General features: G+C 43.9%; 1 protein-coding gene and 1 long non-coding RNA gene across 14 annotated transcripts in view; one reads left to right on the forward strand and one right to left on the reverse strand.

Annotated features, from left to right (window-relative positions):
- Window positions 1-14,262, forward strand: part of PKP4 (plakophilin 4) — a 224,478-nt gene extending 210,216 nt beyond the window's left edge. For 10 of the 13 annotated variants that reach the window (NM_001377220.1, NM_003628.6, NM_001304969.3 and 7 more), the window contains 6 exons: window positions 2,553-2,748; window positions 6,510-6,594; window positions 6,716-6,833; window positions 9,572-9,700; window positions 11,414-11,487; window positions 13,262-14,262. In NM_001377220.1, coding sequence (NP_001364149.1) covers window positions 2,553-2,748; window positions 6,510-6,594; window positions 6,716-6,833; window positions 9,572-9,700; window positions 11,414-11,487; window positions 13,262-13,510 — 851 coding nt within the window. In that variant the 3' untranslated portion in view covers window positions 13,511-14,262. The remainder of the gene's footprint in view (window positions 1-2,552; window positions 2,749-6,509; window positions 6,595-6,715; window positions 6,834-9,571; window positions 9,701-11,413; window positions 11,488-13,261) is intronic. The other 3 variants (NM_001005476.4, NM_001377226.1, NM_001377225.1) reach the window with 1 other exon arrangement.
- PKP4-AS1 (PKP4 antisense RNA 1) overlaps window positions 1-23,575 on the reverse strand; it is a 76,666-nt gene that overhangs the window by 8,831 nt on the left and 44,260 nt on the right. Inside the window, exon 2 of the long non-coding RNA NR_135242.1 lies at window positions 12,079-12,222. This is a non-coding gene — a long non-coding RNA (PKP4 antisense RNA 1). The remainder of the gene's footprint in view (window positions 1-12,078; window positions 12,223-23,575) is intronic.

Genomic DNA, 23,575 nt, shown 5'->3' on the forward strand with positions numbered 1-23,575 from the left:
ACGCTCCGCACCCCAGGCAGCTTGCTTGCCTCTGCGGCATTGCCACATCCTAGGCAGGATGCGGGCTAAAGAAGACATCAGGGACCCCCATAAACCTGAGCTTCGTTCCCAGGATGTGCTGCTCACTGGCCATGCAACCTGGGGTATCCTATATAACCCCGTTCAGGCTCCGTAATTCTATCTAGATTGGAAATGAAAGGCAACTCCTCATCTCTGAAGGGGAGCTGTTGATGCCTGCTGTCCTAACTGGGTTTGCTGTAAAGAGGAAATGAGAGAGCTCCATGCCAAGTCCCACAGCTGGTGACAGGTCAGGGGAGAAGGAGGGGAAATGGGACAAGATCTTATGTGGATTCATGTGAATCTATAGTAAACTTAAAATACACCTGCCATGAGAGAAGGAGAGAGAAACAAGGGCGATGATGTTTACCATAAAGAATTGCTGTAAGGATTAAACGTGATGACTTACAATGGAAGCCCTTCACACAGTGCCTGACAGAATTGCTATTTTGAATTGTTGCCCAGATTAACCTGCTCTTAACACACCATTCCTTTAAGCCAAATCATCCCCCTACGGAGAGGAAAGGAAGTTCCTCCTCACCCTGTTCATGGTCCAGCTCATGCCTGATTCTTGTAGATGTGCCATATCTCTCAGTTCCCACACTTCCTTTACAGAAATCCTTCAGGTCCCTAAAGAGAGATATTCTTTAAAGTTATTTTTCTTACGTCTGTATTGTTTGGATTTCTTATAAGAAGCATGTATAATTTGGGCATTTTTAATGCTAAAAAATAAATGGTTGACACGTATATCCTGTGGCCTGTCATATTTCACAACGCAAAGACACAGGTAGACAGGAGTCCTTGAGCTGGTACTGTGAAGTGCTAAGACCTTTGGCAAGAGGAATGTGTGTTCCAAGTCTTGGCTTCCTCTCAGTGCATTTCTGTGTTTTCTGTGAATAACCCTTTTTAACTTCCACTGGCCTTCTGCCTCTCCAGTGATGAGCTTTTTTTTTTTTTTTTTAACCTGGCTGGAGCACTCTTGAACTGTTCCATCAGTCTGTTTTTTTGTTTCCCTATTCCCGTCTTCCTGTGAGATCTGCCTCACTCTTGGATTCAGTATTTGGCTCTAATTTACCCAGTACTTCAGTTCCTAGGAACCTTCCCCTTCTCTGACCTCTTCCCTCTTTTTTCACATTCATCATCAGCACTAGCAAAGGACTTTCTTTTCAGAGCCATTTTTCACAAAGAAGCAAAGTTTTATCACTTCATAAAAGTTACTACATACTCAACTGAGTGGGACCCACCCTGCTGTCTGGAGCTGCAAGTTCTGAGGGGACCGCCAGGCTCACTCATTCATAGGCAGAGTGAGCTGCCTCGGCCTAACCCCCAGGAGTGCAATTTAAAGTTATGCCTTAGCAAAATGACAAATTACATGTCATGGGCCTTTTGGTCATTCATGAGTATTCAAAATCACCAGAGCTAACTTATCATCTGCTCTGAAAACCACATTTATCTTGTGGCCTTACAGTGTCAGCACTGTTTTTCCACTCTTCATAGCAGTGTTTGTCGTGAGCAAGCCAGAGCCTTCCCTCTGACGTGCTGTACATCACACAGCATGTAGCTGAGACCTGTCTTCTTCTGCTTACCACTGTAAATAAACAGGCCTTTATAAAAAGCGATTGCACATCCACTCAATTATTAGCATAGGGGAGAACTAAGAAGATGTTTACTTGCACTTTAGTTCATTTCTTTTGTTTGTAGTGCACTTACAGTTTGTCAGTTGGTAATCGAAGTTGAAAAAGCTAGAGGTAATCTCTTTTTGGAGAGGAATAAGAAAAATTCAGTATCTATAAAGAAATACCTCAATAACTGTGAAACTCCCCTTGCCTTGTCTTAGCAAGAATTTCATTATTATTGCATTATTCCTGGGAGATAACATACCTATAATTTTAATACCAGAACTTTTACTTGTGTCATCTTTTAAAGAAACTAACATGTTGCCACCGTTGTCAGATGAGTTGCTGTACACCTCAGCTCTATACACAAAAATGTGTAACTGTACCCAGTTCATACATTAAGATCCAGAAAGATCTAACGAAAAGTATTGTTTGGCAGCCTGACTTGGTCCAGATTCAAAGGTAAGTTTTAAAAAGCTCTAAGAGGAAATTGAGGTATTTGTGATGCATAGGAATTCCATTGAGAATAAAATTTACTATTATAATTCCTTCATTACTCAATGTTACTGAAAATACTCGAACGAAAGTAACTTGATTTGTCTACCCAATTTTACGCATTGATTTACATTTGCTTTCAGCAATTGACAGTAATGTTTTATAAATGAATCATTTCTGCAAGTGACGTTGCAATAAATGTTAGCTTTCCCCTTATAATGACATTTGTCCTTTTCTTCTTTGCCATGGGTTTTGATTTTTTCCCCTATTATTGTCTCTTTGGGGGTTTTATTTTTAAGAGATTGCATGCCACCAGAATCTGAACAACAATAACAAAAACCTAGTACCTTCTGGAAGTAGAATTTACTCTTTTGCCGTTGGCAGGCAAATACGCCATGCGAGACCTGGTCAACCGGCTCCCCGGCGGCAATGGCCCCAGTGTCTTGTCTGATGAGACCATGGCAGCCATCTGCTGTGCTCTGCACGAGGTCACCAGCAAAAACATGGAGAACGCAAAAGCCCTGGCCGACTCAGGAGGCATAGAGAAGCTGGTGAACATAACCAAAGGCAGGGGCGACAGGCAAGTCTGCGGCAAGGAGGTGCAAGCAGTGCTCTTATTCCTGAGATTGTCCTGTGATGAGGCCTTTGTTGAGGATACCTTTCCTATTGGAAAGGATTTATTTTTGCATTTCTTACATGCCGATAAGCTAAGCAGTCTCCAGCACTTACAACCTGCTATGCTGGGAGAAGTGTTTTCTGTTATGGGGCCTATTTTTGGTTTTCACTTTATTGTAACACCCTCACTCCTACATTGGTATTTGTCTCTGTCTTAGTCTGTTTGTTCTGCTGTAACAAAATGTTGTGAACTGGGTGGCTTATAAACAACAGAAATTTATTTCTCACAGTTCTAGAGGCCGGGAAATCCAAGATCAGGGCACCAACAGATTTGGTGTCTGGTGAGGGCCCCGATTCTGGTTCATAGATGGTGCCTTTCAGCTGTCCTTGCACGGTAGAAGGAGGGAGAGGTCTCAGGCCTGTTTTTATAAGGGTGCTAATGCCATTCATGAGGGCTCTACCCTCATGATCTAATCACCTCTCAAAGGCTCCACCTCCTAATACCATCACCTTGGGGGTTGGAATTTCAACATATGAACTTTGGAAGGGACACAGACCTTCAGACCATAGCAGTCCCTAAAGCCACAACTGGTCATGCCAACTCCTGGAAGAATTGGAAATGCCAGGATGAGAAAAATCTAGGGGGCACCATTTCCCTTGTGCCCTTGTCTCTCTGCTCCAGGCCTGAGTGCCTGTTCTGCAGGAACGTCTTCTTGAATCCCCAGTTCTGGAATTGAGTTTTCTGCCACATACCCAGAAAGTATTAAAATTACTGCTCTGCAGCAGGGCTGCTGTGTGGCCTCAGGATGTGCCCCAGGCTTGGATGGCGCATTTCCCTTTGCTTCTGCATGACACCTCACTGATTAAGCAGGAAGGAAGGACTAGAGAATCAGTGGTAAAAATTGAAGGCTGCTTGTCATGGAGCTGTAGCAGTGACTATAAGTTTGCCTTAGTATCAGATCAGAGAAATGGTAAGTAGGATGCCTGGTGCCATCTCAGAACAGCAGGACAGCAACCTCCCTGAGCCACAGTAGCATGGCAGCCCTCTCCCCCAAACCCCCTGCTTTGCTCTCTCCATAGCGCTGATTTCCCCTTGCTGTGGAAGTTATGTCTTCCTCTTATACCTGACTCTTCCATTGCAGAGATTTTTATTTCGGTTCACTGCTATATCCTTGGCATCTAGAATAAGCCTGGCCTGCTCATAACAGGTGTTTGGTGAATATTTATTAATTGGCCAAATGACAGTGCTGGAACTCACATTACATCTCATCTTTATACTTTTGAAGGAGTTTCTAAAATATAAGAATAATCTAAAACCATATTCTCATCTCCCAGAAACCACACCTATCAGCAGTAATGATATTTCCTTTCAGTCTTTTTTTTAAATGTATTTTTTTCTATTTAATTAGTAATAAATGGTTATAGGGGGTGGGGAGGGCTGGGAAGGGGAGTGAGTGGAACCATAATCACTTATGCTCTTAAAATGTCGCTGGACAGCCTGCACTTGTGAGCAGCATAAGAAGAGGCTGAGATGCTGAGCCAGTGCCAGAACCTTTCCATATTAAGAAAATTGCTACCCAGTCTAATCTGTTTTTCAAAACCAGAGATTCGGAAAGTCCTGGACCAAATCAAATTGTCTCCTAGCTCCACACACTTAACTTCTTTCACAAGTACTTACTGCCTGCCTGCTGTGTGCCAGACGCTCTTCTCTATGCTGGGCTTGCAGCAGCAGACAGGTCGCATGACAGCCCCACCCGAGGTAGCTTACGTTCCATGGGTGAGGTAGACGCAGACAAGGTGCCAAACGAACAGAAACGCGTGGAGCGTGGTGGGTGGTGCTGAGGGGCAGGGCGCATAATAATGTCAGGGTGGGTGGTGGGCCATGCTGGGGAGAGGAATGCTAGTCAATGAAGGCCTTGCAGAGACAGTGCCTTTTGAGCACAGAGCTGGAGGAGGCAGGGAAGGAACAGTGCAGCTCCCTGGGGGAAGAGCATTTCGGTTAGAGGGGGACATCAAGTGAGAGAGCCCTGAGAAGCTAGAGGACCTTGTGTGCTTGAGGAACAGAGGGAAGCCGGTGGGGCTGGAGCAGAGCCAGTGAGGGGTATAGGAGGCCCACCCCAGCGTGGTGATCTGACGGCCTTGGCCAAGGCAGGGCACCGCATCCCCTCTGCACTTATCCGTGAAGCTACTGACTTAGAGCAGCAGCTCCCAAGGTGAAATACAGTGACTCAGGATGAGGACTGCAACTTGACCTTCGGATGTAACAATATGGAGGTCCTATATTTAAGAGAAGATGGGATGGTGGAAATTAGAGATGCAAGTACATAACTCTTTCAAGGAGTTTTGCTGCAAAGGAGAGCAAAGAATCTTCCTTGCTTTTCTCATGGGTCAGGTTTCTGCTCATGGAATTTGTGTCTGAAAATATGTAGTCTGTTTTTGTCAAGGCATATCCTGGGCACAGTCCTGCCTGGTCGAGTGTTTCAGTTGTCATCCTACCAGGCAGCTGTGGAATCTGCCTTTTGAGCCTCATCCTGCTGCCTAGCACTTAAAGACAGACGGGTGAACAAAGCAGCAATGGCCGGGCCCAGCTGAGAACAGGGTGGCTATGTGGGGCAAGTGCCCTGCTCCCCCAAATCTGTCTTCCAGAGGCTGTCTTGGGTGCCTGAAATTTCATCTGTGTTTATTTCTTTGGGGTATTTAGCTATTGCCTGTTCCATAGTCCAATTTGGAAATAAAAAGGTTAGAAAGGCTTTGAGTGGGTTGGCTTTACCTGGCTCTGCTCACCTAAACCCTCAGAATCATTAGCAACCCATGTTCTGTTAGGGGCTGAGGAAGTAGCTCACCACCTGCTCCCCTCCCTTGTCCTCCTCCACTTCATGAGAGTTTAATTGGGAAGATAACGGAGTAGAAGAGAAAACCAGATTTTAGATCGGGTATATACATTTGAAGTCAAACTGTCAAAGGAGCCTTAAGATTGAAGTGTTCAGTTGTCCTTAGGGCTAACTCTGCAAGCACTGGTCCATGAGTACCACCCAAATGTAGAGATCTGAGGGCCTTAGCTGAGGCAGGAAGTCCCCTCTTCAGTTACTGGTGAGGCCACTGACTTAACAGCAGCAGCTCCCAAGGTGAATCCAGTGACTCGGAATCCAGTTGGCTATGCTTAAGCAGAGCACCAGCATTTGCAAAATGTCCTCAGAGAGGGGAAATAATATCTGTGACCATGTTTTCCAAATTCAACATTAGAACGCACATTAGTCTACTTAGAGGTATGAATGATAAGGCAATGGAGGTATTTAGATGAAGGCTTAATAAAGAAGGAGGGATAAAACATACTCACTTGGGAGGGTCTCCAGACACTCAGAATGTAGAGTCATGGTTGCATGAATCCCAAAGCCCCAGTGAGATCAGTGGCCCTCAGTAAAGATTCGGAGGGAGGTTGGGACTGACACCTACAGAGATCCTCAGCTCAGGTTCGTCCCGGCCACAGCTGCTCCACAGAGCTCACTGCCTGATGGCCTCACTTCAGTTCTTGCCACCTCTTGCCAGTTCCGAACCTGATCGACTCCCAGGCACACCTGGTCCCTTTGTGGTGTGTCCTGCAGTAGCCTCCATCCCTGTGGCCCTGAGAGCGATGGCCTGTTGGCCACTGATTTTCATCCTGCACCCCTCTGAGTGGGGCTGAGGCTGTGTCACCCACATTCATTAATATCCTTGCTCTCTACCTAGATCATCTCTGAAAGTGGTGAAGGCAGCAGCCCAGGTCTTGAATACATTATGGCAATATCGGGACCTCCGGAGCATTTATAAAAAGGTAACCTACAAGAATAGCTCTGGCATAATTAGCATTCATCAGAGCACACACTCATAATCATTTATTGTAATGAAATGTCATTATTCATTTTGAGAGGTTTCTTTTTCTCTTAACTCTGCAGGATGGGTGGAATCAGAACCATTTTATTACACCTGTGTCGACATTGGAGCGAGACCGATTCAAATCACATCCTTCCTTGTCTACCACCAACCAACAGATGTCACCCATCATTCAGTCAGGTCAGTGGGAAAATGCCACTCCTTGGCGAGAACCTTTGTGTGACAGAACATTGTTCCCCAGCCAGAGAAGATCAAACATAAGCTGGTTAAGCCTGTCATCTCCAACACTACCCATGCAGCAGAGAACCTTCTGTAGGAATCACACACCATTATAAACCACAAGCCCACTTTCTTCCTTTTTAAAAGTGTATACAATTTTACATCAGCAACAGCGCCCCAGGCCCTGCCCTCAAGTCTGCCTCACTAAGTGTGAGAAGGGGCCCTGAAACCTGCAGTTGACAGACTGGACAGGGGATCGGGGTGCCTGAGAGTGGAGGGCCACACTTCGAGACGCACTGGGTTATGCCTGAAAGTGGCTGCCCTGTATGCCAGCTGGCCATAAGGTTGGAATCTCCTCCAAAGTGAATTTTTTTAAGTTTTCTTAGTGAAACCTTTTAGAAGCAGGGTCCTTTACCAGAGGACCTTTAAGGTCTTCAGATCCGCAACCTGGGAGAGCTGCCTGCTTTCCAGTTAAACCTCCTTCCTCTGCAGACCCCCAGCATCTGCTGCTAATGGAAGCAGGCCTTACAGTGTGGGTCTGTAGGAATTCCTTTTGATTTTTAAGTTGGGAATCCTGGCAACCATACTACCTACTTCTTTGTAATGTTTAACTTGATGGAAAGAATGTTTTGAGATTCAGACTTAATTTTTTTACATGTAAGGGCAGATTATTACTGCCAAGCCAATCAGTCCTATAAATCTAATTCTTTCCAAAATGAGAAAGGAAAAATAATAAGTATCTTATTTTTATTTGGCTTTAAGTCACCCATTTGGACTTTTAAATATTATCTATTTTATTCAGCAGTGCTACTGCTGGCAGTCTTATTTCTCATGTGGACAAATGTGGCCAAAAAGACGAATATACATGGCCAGTGGTTCTTGCCACATAATTGGATGTCCCCACTTGAACTAGAATTTTTTTTAATTGTCTGTGCTTGTTGTGTATGGTATATATCTTAGTTTTTAAATTATGGGTTGCTTTCTTGAAAGAAACCTACGTGTCTGGTTTTTAACATCCTTGCTAAGCTCCCAGGTATAGCCTGAAACTGCTTTCTTTTAGAAAAATGCTCAGAACCTTTTAGGGTCTTGGGAATAGAGGTGCCAGGGAAATTAAGATGTGTGGCTCTATAACAAAAGGCACATAGACAAGCAAAGGATAATTTTAGATTAGTACGAGCTTGTCCAATCTGCGGCCCATGGGTTTTATGCGTCCCAGGATGGCTTTGCGGCCCAACACAAATTTGTAAATTTTCTTAAAACATTATGAGATTTTTTTGGTGATTTTTTTTTTTTAGTTCCTCAGTTATTGTTAATGTTAGTGTATTTTATGTGTGGCCCAAGATAATTATTACTCTTCAATGTGGCCCAAGGACGCCAAAAGATTGCACACCCCTGGATCATTAGCACATAGTTACTGAATAGTGACCTTGTTTTCAGGACCCCTTAAATATACCTGCTGGACAGTGTTGGCTAGCCCCATTCAAATTCCTAGGTGCCTTTTGGGATTCTAGTCAGTGGTAGGGAATACTCCACTTCTGCTTCTCCAGTTATTCTAAGGGCTGATAATGCATCCCTTCACACTAGTGTGGGATCTGCTTCCGGGCATGTCTGATGCCTTGCTGATGTCATTGGAGGCAGGCGGGTATGCTTTCTGTCCTACTACTTTCTGGAAAGTAAGCAAGGTGAGCAGCACATAGACATTGTCCATACATGCTTACATGTTTAACACTGAACAATCCTATGTCAGTGAGGTGACTTTTTAGGAAAAGTATTTCATTGTCAGTCTTCCTCTGAAAGCGTCAATTTATGCAAAACCACTGGTGTCAAGGTTTGGGGGGCTGTTGCTTTCGAGTGTATCAAGTGAATAAGTGGCCACTCTTATTTGAAATTAACTTTAGGGGAAGCAAGATGATTTTTTTAATAAGAAAAAGAAAAAATGTGAAATATTTCTCTCTTCTTTCTGTGCCACAGTGTCCAAAAAGAGTCCTAAGGATAGATACGGTGTTACTAGATGTTGGCTGAAGCTGGGGTAAAACAGTCCTCAGTCCTCTGGGCCTTTCTGAGGTCAGGGCTTAGCACCATGTGCGCTTCCTAATGAGCCAGGCTTACTGGGTTTAAATTGTTTCCTTGATCACCATAAAAAGAATTATAAATTTTATAGAATGGGTGCTTTTATTCAAACATGTTTAGAGATGTGGATATTTTGGAAATAATTAGAAATCAAAACATGCCATAAAACTTCTGTTGGCTGAAGAGCTATACATAAAGGATAATAGGTGGGTATTTTGCAAGCAACTGAACTGGGATCATAAAATAACAAGTATAACTCTTGCATGGCTAGTAAGTTATTATCACTCAGTTTCAAACGCCTAGTCAAGACATTGAGACAGACTAGTGGGGAAAGCTGCATGATCTCTACACTGTGCCTCTTTAGCCGGGCAGCTTGCCCTCCAGCTTGAGAGTGAGCCCCGGTGTTGACTTTGCTGATTTGTGCAGTGGCAGGCCTGCATGCAGGTAGCACTTGCAGTACTTGGGTCTAGCTGCTCTTCCACTCCCAGCACCTCTGAGATATTTTCAGCACCAGCTGTGTGTCATTTCTAGTTACTGAGCTTTGTGTTTCTGGAGAGGATTTTCCACAGATACTGATGCTGATTTCTCTTTCTACCCCTCTTTCTCTCCTCCTTTGCCTCTCCCTTCAGTCGGCAGCACCTCTTCCTCACCAGCACTGTTAGGAATCAGAGACCCTCGCTCTGAATACGATAGGACCCAGCCACCTATGCAGTATTACAATAGCCAAGGGGATGCCACACATAAAGGCCTGTACCCTGGTAAGACGCCAGTTGGGTGTGTGATACAGTCTCTTGAAAAGCCGCATTTCCAGGCGCTTGGCCAGTGGCCTGGGAAGTAGCCTGTGCTTGTATTGAGACAGTCCCCCAGCAGCAAACCATGTTCCAGTCATTCCCTTTCCTACTTTGGGGATTGTTGCCTTTTCTGCTTGTTTAAAGTAAAACAAGCATGTACTTGTTTGTATGTATGTATGTATGTAGTTGTACGGTGGGCACAAATAAAAAGAGGGCTGTATCCAAATAAATCATTTCTGGCTGCTCACTGGCACAGTCCCTTTGCTCCGTCCCCTCCTGGCTCGAGCAGTCTCTGTGTTTTCCACATGCATCAGAACCGTCAGCCCAGTGTCACTTTGCAGGGGCCACATCTTCTAGACTGGCTCATCTCTTAAATTCAAACCAGAGAATGGAGATCAATTTCATTTACATTTTCATGGAGAAGAGTTTGAATAAATAGCAAAAGGTATAATGTGATTCTTCTCAACGTGATTATTTTTTAAGAATAACAAAAATAATGTTACATAGTGTTAATATTTTTATATCCTATTCAGAAAGCTGTGCATACAATTTATTTAAAGGATACCAGCCCAAAGGGTTACTAAGATTTCATACTGTTCCCATTCTCAACCGTCTGGCGATTATAACTACTTTAGATGTTCCAAATAAGTCAGTGTGAGCTACCCCACAAAAAGTACTCTTTTCTCAAACCTGTCTATTAAAAATAAATAAAAGCTGGTGGCAGCTTTACTCCTGCTGGGGGGGCAGTCTCCATTGTACTGTTGTCTTTGAAATTGTGATTTCACAGGACTATTTACTAATCGACTGTTGTTACTATGGCAATTAATAGCTCAGAAAATTGCAGATGCTACATTTCAACACCAAGCTCTGGGCAAAAGGAAATGCACATACCAACTGAAGTGCATGGTTGCTTCCGATTTGCAGCAGCCTGCTTTATCTTACAGATCACCTCTTTAGCATGCATGCCCTTCTGTATCTTCTTCGCTTGCTTCAATAAACTAATTTGCCTCAACTACGTTTCATTTTCCTCATTAAAAAAATAAAAATCTTTGCTAGCCTTAATAATAATGGAAGGGTAACATCATCAGGAGTCTACTATGGACTTTTGAAGACAATTATCTCATTATTACCAAGTTCCTTTTGTATTAAAACATACTTAAATATGCCAGGTACAAGACTGTGCCTCCATTGTTGCTCCTTCCTTGACCTGAGATTTTGAATCCCAGTTGTTTGTTTGGAAGGCATGGGGCTTGTTCGAATATTGTGTTTCGCTTCTCCTCTCTGACCCACTGCCGTAGCTCAGAGCCCTGGAAAAGGAGTGTTCCTCAGCTCAGGATCCCGTGCTGCTGTCCAAAGCCAGCTGGAGAAACCCTCCCACATGTGAGCAGAGCTTGAGCAGGAACCTTTGCGCATGGGCTCTGCACTGGCATTGCTTTTTGGGGAAACACACACAGCCTGTTTCTGCCATAGTTTTGCCATTAGCCCCCACCAGCCCTGAGGTAAGCAGCAGCCAGGCCAGATCCAGGGACCCTGAGCTGCTACCTCTCCCAGCCCGCATTGGCACTGGGGAAGACAGGCCCTGTCGGGGACAGTGCTAGCCCTAGTGCAGGGGAGACCACCCAGCCTAATGGACCAGAGTAATAAGCACTAGTTTTAATTTCATAAAATATTTTCTTACAGGCTCCAGCAAACCTTCACCAATTTACATCAGTTCCTATTCCTCACCAGCAAGAGAACAAAATAGACGGCTACAGGTGAATTTGCAATATCATTTTTACAGAAGGCTGATTAGCAGTTAACACAGTAAGGGGTCCACGTCGATTGACTTCCCAGAGCTGGGCCAACATGGCAGGGTCCTAGATGCTTTCCCTGGGGATCTTCACTCCTTGGAAACTCAACGTGTGGTTTAAGCAAAGCATTTCCACGGTAGCCTCACGTTCTTGAGTATCCACATCGGTACTGCTGAGACCACCGTGCCACTGATGGGGACAGCCGAGAAGTCTTTAGTTCATGTCTTTTGCCCAGCAGTGTCCTCTTCCCACTCTTTTTCTGTTAAGCTCTAAAATCTCTTCCAGCCTCTGAGTGAGGGAAGGTTGGTAAGCACACTTCATGCCCTCATCACATTGTTCTCTTTTGTGTATACCTCGTTCTCCATCTCGCCCCTCCCTGTCCAAGCTCCACAATTTAAAAACACTGAGTCCATCACCAGGTCTGTTTGTCTCAGTGGTCAAGGTGGACTCAGCCCCTGCCGGGATGGACCTCACTGTGGGAGAGTGGGACTGGCGGTTATAACACACCCAGGCTTTGCTTTCATGAAGGGCCTGCAGTCAGTCTCAGGTCCTTACCAGTGCCATGGCGAACTTGGACCATCTGGTCTCTCCTCTTCCCTTTCAATGACACAGAGCAGCTGGAGTTTCCTAAAACAAGACTGTATCCTGTCCTTCAGATAAGGATGTGTTCTAAGACCTCTCCTTCTCGTCATCTTTTCTCTGTAGGTGGAAGAAAAAGAACTTTCCAAGTTATTCATAATTTATGCTATGGTTTTTTAGTCAGGAAAAATAGACCAGAATCATAACTCTGGCTTGAAAGGAGAATTTAGCTCTGAAATCCTTATAATGTTAGAATGCATTGAGTTCCAGGACATGACATTGGTTTCTATGTGGTAAATTTGTTACATCTTACTAAGTAGGGGGATTTGGGCATAATCAAGAACATAGACATAATAACCATCACAATTTGAAGAAATTAGTGTGAGGTCAAAGCTAAGACTGAACAAAAGGAAATGGAGAGCAGTGTGCCCTGTGTGGGTGCCCACGTGTGCCTGGTCTTGCCCACTTACAGATGGACTTAGCCCTGGCTTGGGGAAGCCTTTTCCTCTAGAACCATATTTGCTCACGTGTGTCTCCTAATTTTACTATTCTTCTGCCTTGAGATTGCTTATTCCTTTAATATTACAACTTACAGCAGAGTTTCCAAAGTGTGACTGTTGTTCACCTAGCCACATACATCTTTTAAAATGTAGGGGTGGACTCCATCTTCATATCTGAAGTAAATGTTCTAAAAGATGGTTCGGTAATTATACAATTATCCAAGGCCCAGAAACCCAGTCCTTGACTAAATTAGTGATGTGCTAATAATTCCCCTGTGTCAAACCAAATATCAAGACCATCCTCTCATTCGGCATGCCCAGGTAACAGGTGCCTCCACAGCTGAGCACACAGCAGGGCCTCCAGTAAAGAGGGGAGGTTTCTGGGGCCACCTGCCCTGAGATCTCAGGCTTTCTTGAGGCACCTGCTTCTCTAGAGGTCTTAGGACAGGAAACTCAGCAGCCTGCCTGAGAATGCAGCTTAAAATCCTTAGAGTCCAATAGTAAACGCATAGTGTGCACCAGAAACAGCTTTTAACCTTAAACTGCAAATATTGAATATTGCTTTAAAAATATGAAGCAGGAAGCCCACATTAATTTTCCTAACACATGTATTTTTAAAAAATTGCTTTTATTTATTTGCCTTTTCATTTTGTCAACAGCATCAACAGCTGTATTATAGTCAAGATGACTCCAACAGAAAGAACTTTGATGCATACAGATTGTATTTGCAGTCTCCTCATAGCTATGAAGATCCTTATTTTGATGACCGAGTTCACTTTCCAGCTTCTACTGATTACTCAACACAGTATGGACTGAAATCGACCACAAATTATGTAGACTTTTATTCCACTAAACGACCTTCTTATAGAGCAGAACAGTACCCAGGGTCCCCAGACTCATGGGTGTAGCATCAAGATGCCCAACAGAGGAACTCTTTCTTTCTAACCTTGTTCAGATTGAGGTGAAAAGTCCATCTTGCTGATTTGATGATTGAAATGTGAAAGTGAAGTGGAAGGAATGAATGAAGTGTGTTTTTTTTTTCTTTTTTGAGGAATTATCAGGGAAGTGAGGAAATGTTTGGGAGAGGACTTTCTAAGCTCTATTTAGGTGTTAGATCTAATTACTTATAGATTCTGTAGTCTGGTGAAGGTGTGGGTGACGTGATGAGAGGTTTGAGAAATGGGTGAAATGAAATGGGGGATATGTAGGTCAAATCAAATTAAAGATGATTTTTTTAATGTGAATAAAGTTATGTTCTGATAGTTTGTACAGAAAAAATAAAATGGATGCCCATGTTTTATTGCTATTACTAAATGTCAAGATTGTATGCTATTATGTCTTGTAAATTTCTTTTGTTGGTGTAAATATGGAAATGCCACATTGGTTAAGTGCCATCATTTGTAATGCAATGTGTCACTTGAAAAGAGATTTGAAGAAACTGACAACTTCAAAAACAAATGAGAAGCCCAAGGAACTGTGAGCAATTAAAAGCAAACCGCGACACCCTTTGTCTCCACCACACATAGTGTACTTTGGAAGCACAACGTCCAGGCTGGTACCGCAGCGCCATGCCCATTCCTCGCCTCATTCATAGGACACTTCACTGCCATTTTCTATTCACATAAAAGAAAAATAAATGTGGAAATTTCATCCTTGGAAATGTGTTCTCTATTCTTTTTAAATTTTCTGTATGTATATGGAAAAGCAGATTTAATAAACACAAATCTAACTGCATGTTGGAAACAGCTTAAATATATCCAACTATTTTGGACTTTTCCTAGTTTTATATATACTTTGTGAGATGGACCACACCAAAGAATTAAGCTATGAACTTTCCTTCTCTGACAATCTAGGTATTTTTATTTCTTGGAATCTATTTCAAATCTAGTACCCTTCACAGTTTTATCATGTTTTTCTATATGGCAGCCCGGCCATAACTAAATTGATATAACTAAATTGATACCTTTTTTAGGCATCATTTTTAAGAACTCAGTAACTTCATAAGAACAGTGGTTGGGCATTTATTTGGTTGGCACCAATATAATAAAACAAATTCTAAATTATGATCTTGTTGAGTAATTCCTGGATTAGGAATGGGGTAGGGGAAAGAAGCCCCACAGTAGGGTAGGCAGAGGTCCCCATAGCACCACACAGCATTACTTGGGAGCTTTTCTCCATCTGTGGAGGCAATGAGGGACACCAGGCCCAAAGTCTGAGGCCTTCTCAGGTCTTGCAGTTTCCACCCTTCAGTCCTAGCTCCTGGATCTTTGTTGGTGTAAATATGGAAATGCCACATTGGTTAAGTGCCATCATGGAAAACTAGGAACTAGTTTACCTGTAGCTGTACTAGGAAAACTAGGAACTAACGCCCATGGCAAGTCAAACCCAGAAGTGTTGTCTTAGCTCAATATACCCTGCAAGTGTAATACAAATCGCAGATTAAAACATTTGTACTTATATTTGTGAGTATATGGAAAGACACCCAAGAGAAAACTGCGTTTTCTTGCCGAATGGACAGCAGCCCAAGATGAGCATCCAAAGTGAAATGGAAATACCAGTGCGAGCATGAAAGTTCCTAAGATCTGCAAGCCGGGAGCCCTTCTGGGGTGCCTTCTGAAGAACACTCGAGCCAGCTTGCGGAGTCGACTGCCCAGCTACTGAGCCCTGGCTGCCTCATACCTGGCGGAGCTCAGCAGACAGCCCTTGTTAGATGGCAGAGGTCGCCAGATGTTCCTGAGGAACTGGCATCAGGACTTCTGGGACGTAACCACTTCAGTTTCCAATCACTGACTTCCCTGAACCTGGTATCTTCAGATCTGGGTTGAAGCTGAAGGCTCAGTTGGGGAATCAGGAAAACAAGGGAATCGGAGCCAGCCCAAGCCAACTGACAATAACTTTCTTTTAGTGACTGCATTAGTTTGGGGTAATGCTGTAACAGGCAGCATTTCAAAAACGGATCCAAATTTGGGTTGAAAATAACTCACCTGGGTCTCCAATCAGACCTAACAGAGCCAGAAAGAGGCCTGTACACGGGGACTGGGCAGAAGATCTAATGCCGTTTAAGACTCCTCCCTTGAGACCAGAGAAAAGAAACTGCAGACACAGCCTGAATGATACAAAAGTGCATCATTGATGAAAAAACAAAGCCTACTGTTCCTTCAAGGTGTGGGAATAAACAAGCTCTGCTAAAACAAAGTTGACTTTTTATTGCTGTCCTTACGTCACTAAGTAGCATATAGAATTCAGCCCACTTCCACCCTGTTCCAGAGGGTCAGGGCTGAACTGAGCCAATGTCAGTGAGCTAAACAAGGGTTTCCTTACCGTGATTGCACATTAAGAGTCACCTGGACCCCACCCTGACCACTCAAAACCACAGAGGTGGTGTCCAGACATCAGTATTCCTGAAAAGCTCCCTGGGTGATCACAGCATACAGTCCAGTGAGAGCCACTTGGTACTACTCCCCATTCTCCCTCCATCCCTTCATGCCGCACCACCTGAAAATTTAGCAGCTGGGGTTTAGGGTGCGGAGTTTGCCTAGAAGAGAGGGATAGATTTGGAGTGTTATCATTGAGATCTTAAACTTGGAAAGTCAGATGTGAGGTTTTTCTTTTTGCCAGAGTATGTCTTTTTGCCTGCGCACACTTGTTTAAGGTTATGTCCTTTGAAGTCCATGAGTATCAGAAGTGATGACCACACAGTCCCGTAACTGTTCCAATCATTAATCCCTGGCCAGTGTTCTGTTGTCCACCTGATGCTGATTCTTGCACTGAAATACCAACAGGTCACTTTATTGACTGCTGACTATGTGCTCAGAGTACCACATACATTATCATCTAACCCTCACAGCACATGTGTGACATCTGTACTAACAGCCCATTTAACATATCCTGAAGCAAACTTGGAAGACTAACTTGCTGAAGATCATACAGCCAGTAAGGGGCCATTAGCATTACACTCAACTACATTGCCAGTGGTTTTCATATTTAATAATTTGAGTTTCAGCTGAACTTCTACAAAGTGTTTTTCATCATTGCTTCAAATTTGCCAAAGGACTTTCTATTACTACTCTAAAAGGAGAAAACCATCACTTGCCATAAACTTTGGGCAAGTGATGGTTTTCTCATATACTTTTTTAGTAACCATAAAAATGAACAATTAACTATTAAACATAAAAAATATCAAATTGTTTTTAATTAGCTGGGCATGGTGGCATGCACTTGTAATCCCAGCTACTCAGGAGGCTGAGGCAGGAGGATCACTTAAGCACAAGAAGTCAAGGCTGCAGTAAGCTATGATTGCACCACTGCACTTCAGCCTGGGTGACAGAGGGAGACCCCATCTCAAAAAAAAAAAAAAATGCCTACGTACCACCAAAATTTATCTTGTCTACCACCACTGGTGTTACATGAACCTCATTTTGGGAAACTTGAGTTCTGATTATTCTGATGTGTGTGATGATTTAGGTTTGGCTGATAACTCCCCCTAAAAGAATGCTGTGAGCTATGCCTATTAATATAAGCCACTAAAAATCTGTCACTAGGCAACCCTCCCATTTGGGGGCCTCAGCAGTACATTTGATGGAACACTTATCCAAACCTATTGGATGGTGGTTTTATTTCCATGATCAAACTGGCTTACAAGGAAAAGACATTTGAAAACTTGGCCATTGCTATTCACTTATTAGATTTTTAAAATACCATTGTTTTTAACAGCGTTATTCATAATTGCCAAAAACTAGAAACAACCCAAATCTCCAACAGAAGAATGGATAAACAAAAGTTATATCCAAGAATAGATAAAATTATGGTATATTCATGTAATAGAATACTAATCTACAATAAAAAGAATGAGCCACAGTACAGAGACATGGATGAATCTCAAAAATATGCTGCTCAAACGCAGGAGAAAGTTGCAGAAAAGAGAACATAAAGCATGACTGATTCAAGAAGAGGTGGTAGAAGTCAGAATCATGGTTGCCCTAGGTATTGACTAGAGAGCTAAGCGATGGAAATGTTCTGTATCTAGGTTGGGGTGGCAGTTACACAGGGGTATACCTTGATCAAAACTCATCAAAATAGGCTGGGCATGGTGGCTGACACCTGTAATCCCAGCACTTAGGGAGGCCGGATGGGTGGATCACCTGAGGTCCGGAGTTTGAGACCAGCCTGGCCAACATGGCCAAACCCCATCTCTACTAAAAATACAAAAATTAGCTGGGTGTAGTGGCAGATGCCTGTAATCCCAGCTACTCGGGAGGCTGAGGCAGGAGAATTGCTTGAACCTGGGAGGCAGAGGTTGCAGTGAGCCGAGATCACACCATTGCTCTCTAGCCTGGGCAACAAGAGCAAAACTCTCTCAAAACAAACAAACAAACAAAATCAAAATGTACACATAAGATCTTCATTTCATTGTATATACAATTTGCCTCAATAAAAAAAAATTTCTTCAAAAATCAGTAAGGAAATACACAACATTGTCTGAGACTTAGTTTTATGAACTAGAATCAAAATTTTGATTATTAGTCTCCCATGAGTTAAGAAAAATAAACAAAACATAATTCCTTTTTTTTTTTTCCCCATTGAGATGGAGTCTCACTCTGTTGCCCAGGCTGGAGTGCAGTGGCGCAATCTGGGCTTACTGCAGCCTCCAACCTCCCAGGTTCAAGTGATTCTCCTGCCTCAGCATCCTGAGTAGCTGGAATTACTGGTACCTGCCACCAAGTCTGGCTAATTTTTGTATTTTTAGTAGTGACGGGGTTTCGCCATGTTGGCCAGGCTGGTCTCAAACTCCCAACCTCAGGTGATCCGCCTGCCTCGGTCTCCCAAAGTGCTGGGATTACAGGTGTAAGCCACTATGCCTGGCCTAGAAAACATAGTTTCTTACACAAAAGGTTTGAGCACAAAATGCCTTTGTAGTTCTATACACAGCCTACCAAGTTAAGTTTAAACAGAATTCTGGAAAATATACACTTGGAAAGCACTACAGGGGGTGTCCTTTTGGATGAGCTATGATTGTACAGATTCAGGTGTGTGCTGACAAGAAGGTAAGTTAAGAAGCAACACTCAGGCACCTGTCTCAACATGTTGCTGAGAGTGAGAAGTGTGTCACCCCTTTTACCTAACGATCCAAAGAGTTGTGTAAATAAGCACCTCACCCATCTCAGTACTTCCCAAGCCACAGGACGGAGTGTGGGAGCGAAGCCCCTTCATCAAAGCACCAGAAAGATGTCAGCAGAAAAACAAACAGGTCAGTGAAATCAGAGGCAGAGCAGCTAATGGGGTTTTTTTAATGTTACAAATGCAGGGCAGACTTTGAATTCAAAGGAGAACTTTGTGGCAGGTAAAAGGCATCGTTGCTGTGGAGGAACCAAAGTCTTTAATTAGTGTGCAACTGGGAAGGGAGTTAGCGGGCAGCAAAGATAAAAATGATGTTTGGAATTCCATGGGGCAGCTTCCACCGCTGATACACAGCTGCCCTTTGCTGGCCTGTGCCAAGAACTGGACTGGGCCTCAGAGACCATGTGCAGCACGGGCTGCCACCCACACAGAGGAACGCTTCTCAGCTGGGACTCATCAGTTCCGCCACCCTTTAATCAGTCTTGTCTTTGGTCTCCAGCCTTATTCATCCTCGTGATAGCAGTTTGCTGTGCCCCAGCGTAATGGCTTGACTTAACTCTCTGTCCTTATGAATACCCTTATTCAGGACAATCCTTAAAGGCTGCAGACACAAAAAGGAAATTATTAGCGAGCAGATTATGACTTGGATTGTGTCTGTTTTAGTGCCTTTCCCTGTTTTCATGTCAGCAGCTTTGCTGGAAGCAGCTGGCATGTCCCCGAAGTGGCTGTTTGTGCCTATCGCTATTGCCTAATTCTAACGAAATCACTAAAAAGCATTTTGTGCTGTCATAATCGTTTGCATGAGCCATAACTAGCTCTTTCATTATTAAAGCCCCATCCAATGCTTGGGGTAATTTTGATAAAGACTTAATGATATGATGAGCTATTTCACCCTCCATTCACATCCAGTGATTCCAGAGCTGACCAATGCATTGTCTTAGAAAATAAAACACAACTTATGCTGGGTCAAAGGTGTAATTCTGAGATCAGTGGGAACATATCCAATTCTTCCTTCAGAAATCCCTTATAACTATTAACTCACTCCCCAGAAGCCCCCTGAAATGTGCCTTTATTTGCTGGCAATGAAATGTAATGTGTTTGGCTTCCAAGGCCTTGAGGAGCTGCCACCCACTGAGTAATAATCTAATAAAATGACTTCAGGGAGGACGAAACCCCTCTAGGGTCTTTATTTCGGATCTCCAGAGTCAGTGGTTGTGCCAGCACAACCCAGGGCAGCTCTCTCCTTTCCAGAGGTGAGAATGAACCTAGTGAGGTGTGCCCAGTTTCCTGGGGACCAGAGGAAAGGATTCAATCCTCATGGGTTCCAGGTTAGAAATGATGATCACAGGAGGGGTCCTGGCCATCGTAGAAATGGTTGTGTTGTGCTATGAGGGAAGCATTTTGAGCCTTCACAAAAACAAAAACCAGGAGGTTCTATCACTGAATGATGACCTCTGCACTTTTATTTCTTCGGTTCCTATGAAAGTATGCTCCAAGCTGGAGACCTGTGTTGTATTATTCCCATGGCTCCTAGACATGAAAGATAAGTAAGGCTGGATGAAATATGTGTCCACCAAAATCACTGTGATTATGGCTGGCCACAGTGACCAGCAGTCTCCTTCTTGTCTCTCACTGTGGTCAAAAGATAATGGTGTGTTTATTCAGCTTGCAAATGGTGAGGTTCTCATTTTTCATTTTCCTCTCATCTCTGCGTAACCTTTTAATCACTTCTTTGAAAATTAACACTGCTTTGGAAAAGGCTATCAGAGGAGAGGTGGAGTGGTATTGAAATCAGGTCTGTCGATATATAACATCTTAATTGGAGAAAAGCTGATGCTAAACCACCTGAAGCTACAAATATTGTCCTCTGAGGCCACATCAGTGAGTGTGGTGATGATATATCATCACTGAGAAACTGCATTTGGCTGGCAGTAAAAAAAAAAAAAAAAATTCCAAAATTGAGGCTTCAACAAGACAAGTTGTAAGAGGTTTTATTTGTAGTTTTTTCCTCTACCACATAAAGAGATGACCACAGAAAGTCTAATGTCTGTCTTCCTAGTATGGGGTTCCACAAATGCCCTCATGGCATAAAGTAAGCTTTATCCTACTCTTTGGGTAGGACCCTCATCCTCATGGCTTCCTGGCTAGCTGCTGGAGCTCCAACCATCACATCCTCATTCCTCAACAAAGAGAAAGGAGTTGGGAAAGTGGAGCTTGGCAATTGAGTCAAAACCCCTAAAAAAGCTTTCCTTGAATCCCTGCCCATACATCTCATTGGCCATTCCTATCTATAAGAGACACTTGGAAAAGGAATCTTTACCAGGTCCTATTGCCACCTCTACTCATGTAGGTTGTGTTAGTAAGGAAAAGGAGGGGGTGGATAGGAGGAAGTCACTCTCAGTCTCTGCCCAAGATGATAGATGACCTCTGCACTTTTATTTCTTCGGTTCCTATGAATGTATGCTCCAAGCTGGAGACGTGTTGTATTATTCCCATGCTTGGGCAGAAGCCATAGTACCCAGGGCTCCTAGGCATGAAAGATAAGTAAGGTTGGATGAAACTTCTCAAGCTCAAGTTGTCCTAGAGGTAGGAGTCCTCAGCAGTCAGGCTCCATGTCATAGTGTAAAAGTTAACCACGGAAAGCCAGTAACCATCAGCAATCTATGGTCAGAAGCCCCACCCTCCTGGTAGCTTCCAATCTCCATGGGGTAGAGCCATGGGGAGTCCACAGAAGTGCGAAAGTCAAGGGGAGGGATGCCAGGTGCCTCTCCCCACTGCACCAAGAGCAGCCCACTGTGCGCTGCTTTCTATATTCCATGTCCACCTGAGATCATTTTAGCAAAGGTTATATAGCTAAAAACAAAAATAATGATAAACCATGTATGGCCAACACCTGACCTTAAAAAGTAGCTCCCTAGAGACAGCTCTGTGTGCTCCTGACTGGCAAGCCATGTAGGCTGAGGCAGCAGCTGCCTCCCTCAGCCACCCAGATGAGAGTCGCTGCGACTCACTGTATGTCTGTGGCAATCTTCCTTCAATGTTCTGGGCACTGTGGGGTAATCTGGGGCTGACACGTCTGCCATTGCCCCCAAGAATTTGTAACATTCCTGAGTCCATCGGAGCAGTTAGCAGCTACCAAGTCTGGGTTGAGCTGTCAAGGAAAGCCCAATAGAACAAGATGTACTCAAGCTAAACTTTGGGTTAACTTTAAACAAAGGAAATACATGAGAATGGTGGGATGCAGACTACAGAGAAAGCCAGGGAACGTGAGTACAGGAAGAAAGTCAAGAGGAAGAGACAAAAAAACAAAACCAAAACAAAACAAAACAAACAAACAAAAAAACAAGTTTCTCTCAGCGGTTTGGGGTGAAGATGAAAGAAATCTCAGCCTTTTGATCACTCCTAAAAATAATAATAATAATCTTTTGATGAGTATTTGCTAGGATGTAAGATATCAAGGACAGTACTGTATGCTTTAACCACATTATCCCATTTAATCTTCATAACAACCCTAAAACAATGTCCAAGAGAAAACTGTCCTCAGAACTATAAAGTGGCCCAAGGTCACCTCAATTGGGGATTGCCAGATGAATCTGTTGGATTCCAGAGACCCCATTAGCTGTTCCTGCCTCCCTAAGGAAGCAGAACAGCCGTCCCCTCCAGCCTTGATGTTTATGCTAAAGTCAACCCTTGTGACAAACCCTCTCCCAGCCAGGAATCCCCCTCCAGCTTCCTACCAGCTTCCCAGCCAAATTAGGCTCAAATAATACAAATCCATTTTAACGTTGCCTTAGCAAAGATTACTAGGAAAATAGCATGTTGGCGCAAATCAAAGTTGATGCCTTCGAAAAGAAAACTATCAAATGGCCTGTTCACAAAATATGCTCCGAGTCCAGACCTGTGACTAAACACTTCATGGAATCAAAAGAACCCAGAAGAGAGGCCCTCCCCTGTACGGGCCAATCCCACTGCACCTCCCCACCCCTCCAACCTCGCTTAGCCTCAAGGAGCAACTCTGCTGGGCAGGAGCAGGGGCAGGAGGCCAGGCAGTTCAGCTGGGAAAGGGCTGTTGCCTCAAAGGGAGGGAAGGGCCCTACCACCAAAGACCATCTCCAATAAGGACTCACTCATAGCCCTGCAAGTCTATAAAAAGGGAAGCACAGACATTCTGGAAGATGTGGAATGAAACCTTGTATCTTTGTCTTCACTGTTCACTCCTCACTCTTCTTCAGGGGCAAAGGAGGGATCATCTCATGAGACTAGGAGAAACAAAGTAAGCTCAAGGAGCCCAGCTGCCCAGCAAAGGGCCGGAGCATCTGGCCTCCCTCGCAGGGCAGACTATCCTGGCTGGTGCTGCACTGCACGGAGGCCTCAAGTTTTGGTTGGGTGAGTTCAGTTAACCCAGGTATCTATAGAAGACTGATTTTTGTTCTGGTTCAAGCTATAGTTCCCAAATCCACCTCAGGAGTGAGAAAGCTGATAGTGTTCTAATCCACGTGACCCCTGGGTGTATTCCTCTGCAGTTCTGGTCTCAGCCCTAAGGTATGTCTGGGCCTTCAGAAACCCCAGCACATCCAAACTTCTGGACCAAACTGAATCTCAATATGTGAAATAGGACTCTTTCACGGGAGTAGATAAGAAGGGGCTGTCACCAGTGCCTCAGGGCTAACACACACTGAGGGCAGAAGTCCCACCAGGTTAGCCTGGGCCAGCACCCATCACCCCAAGGGACAAAGCTTCAAGCAAGTTCTTTGGAGAACATGGCTGAACCTGAGGTTGAAGTTGGTTTTCCCACTTCTCTCCTCCCTTCCCCAGATGGAACTTCGGACAGCCAAATCCAGTGAGGTGTGAGCTAA

Source organism: Homo sapiens, chromosome 2, assembly GCF_000001405.40.
Source record: "Homo sapiens chromosome 2, GRCh38.p14 Primary Assembly".
Classification (NCBI taxonomy): Eukaryota; Metazoa; Chordata; class Mammalia; order Primates; family Hominidae; genus Homo; species Homo sapiens.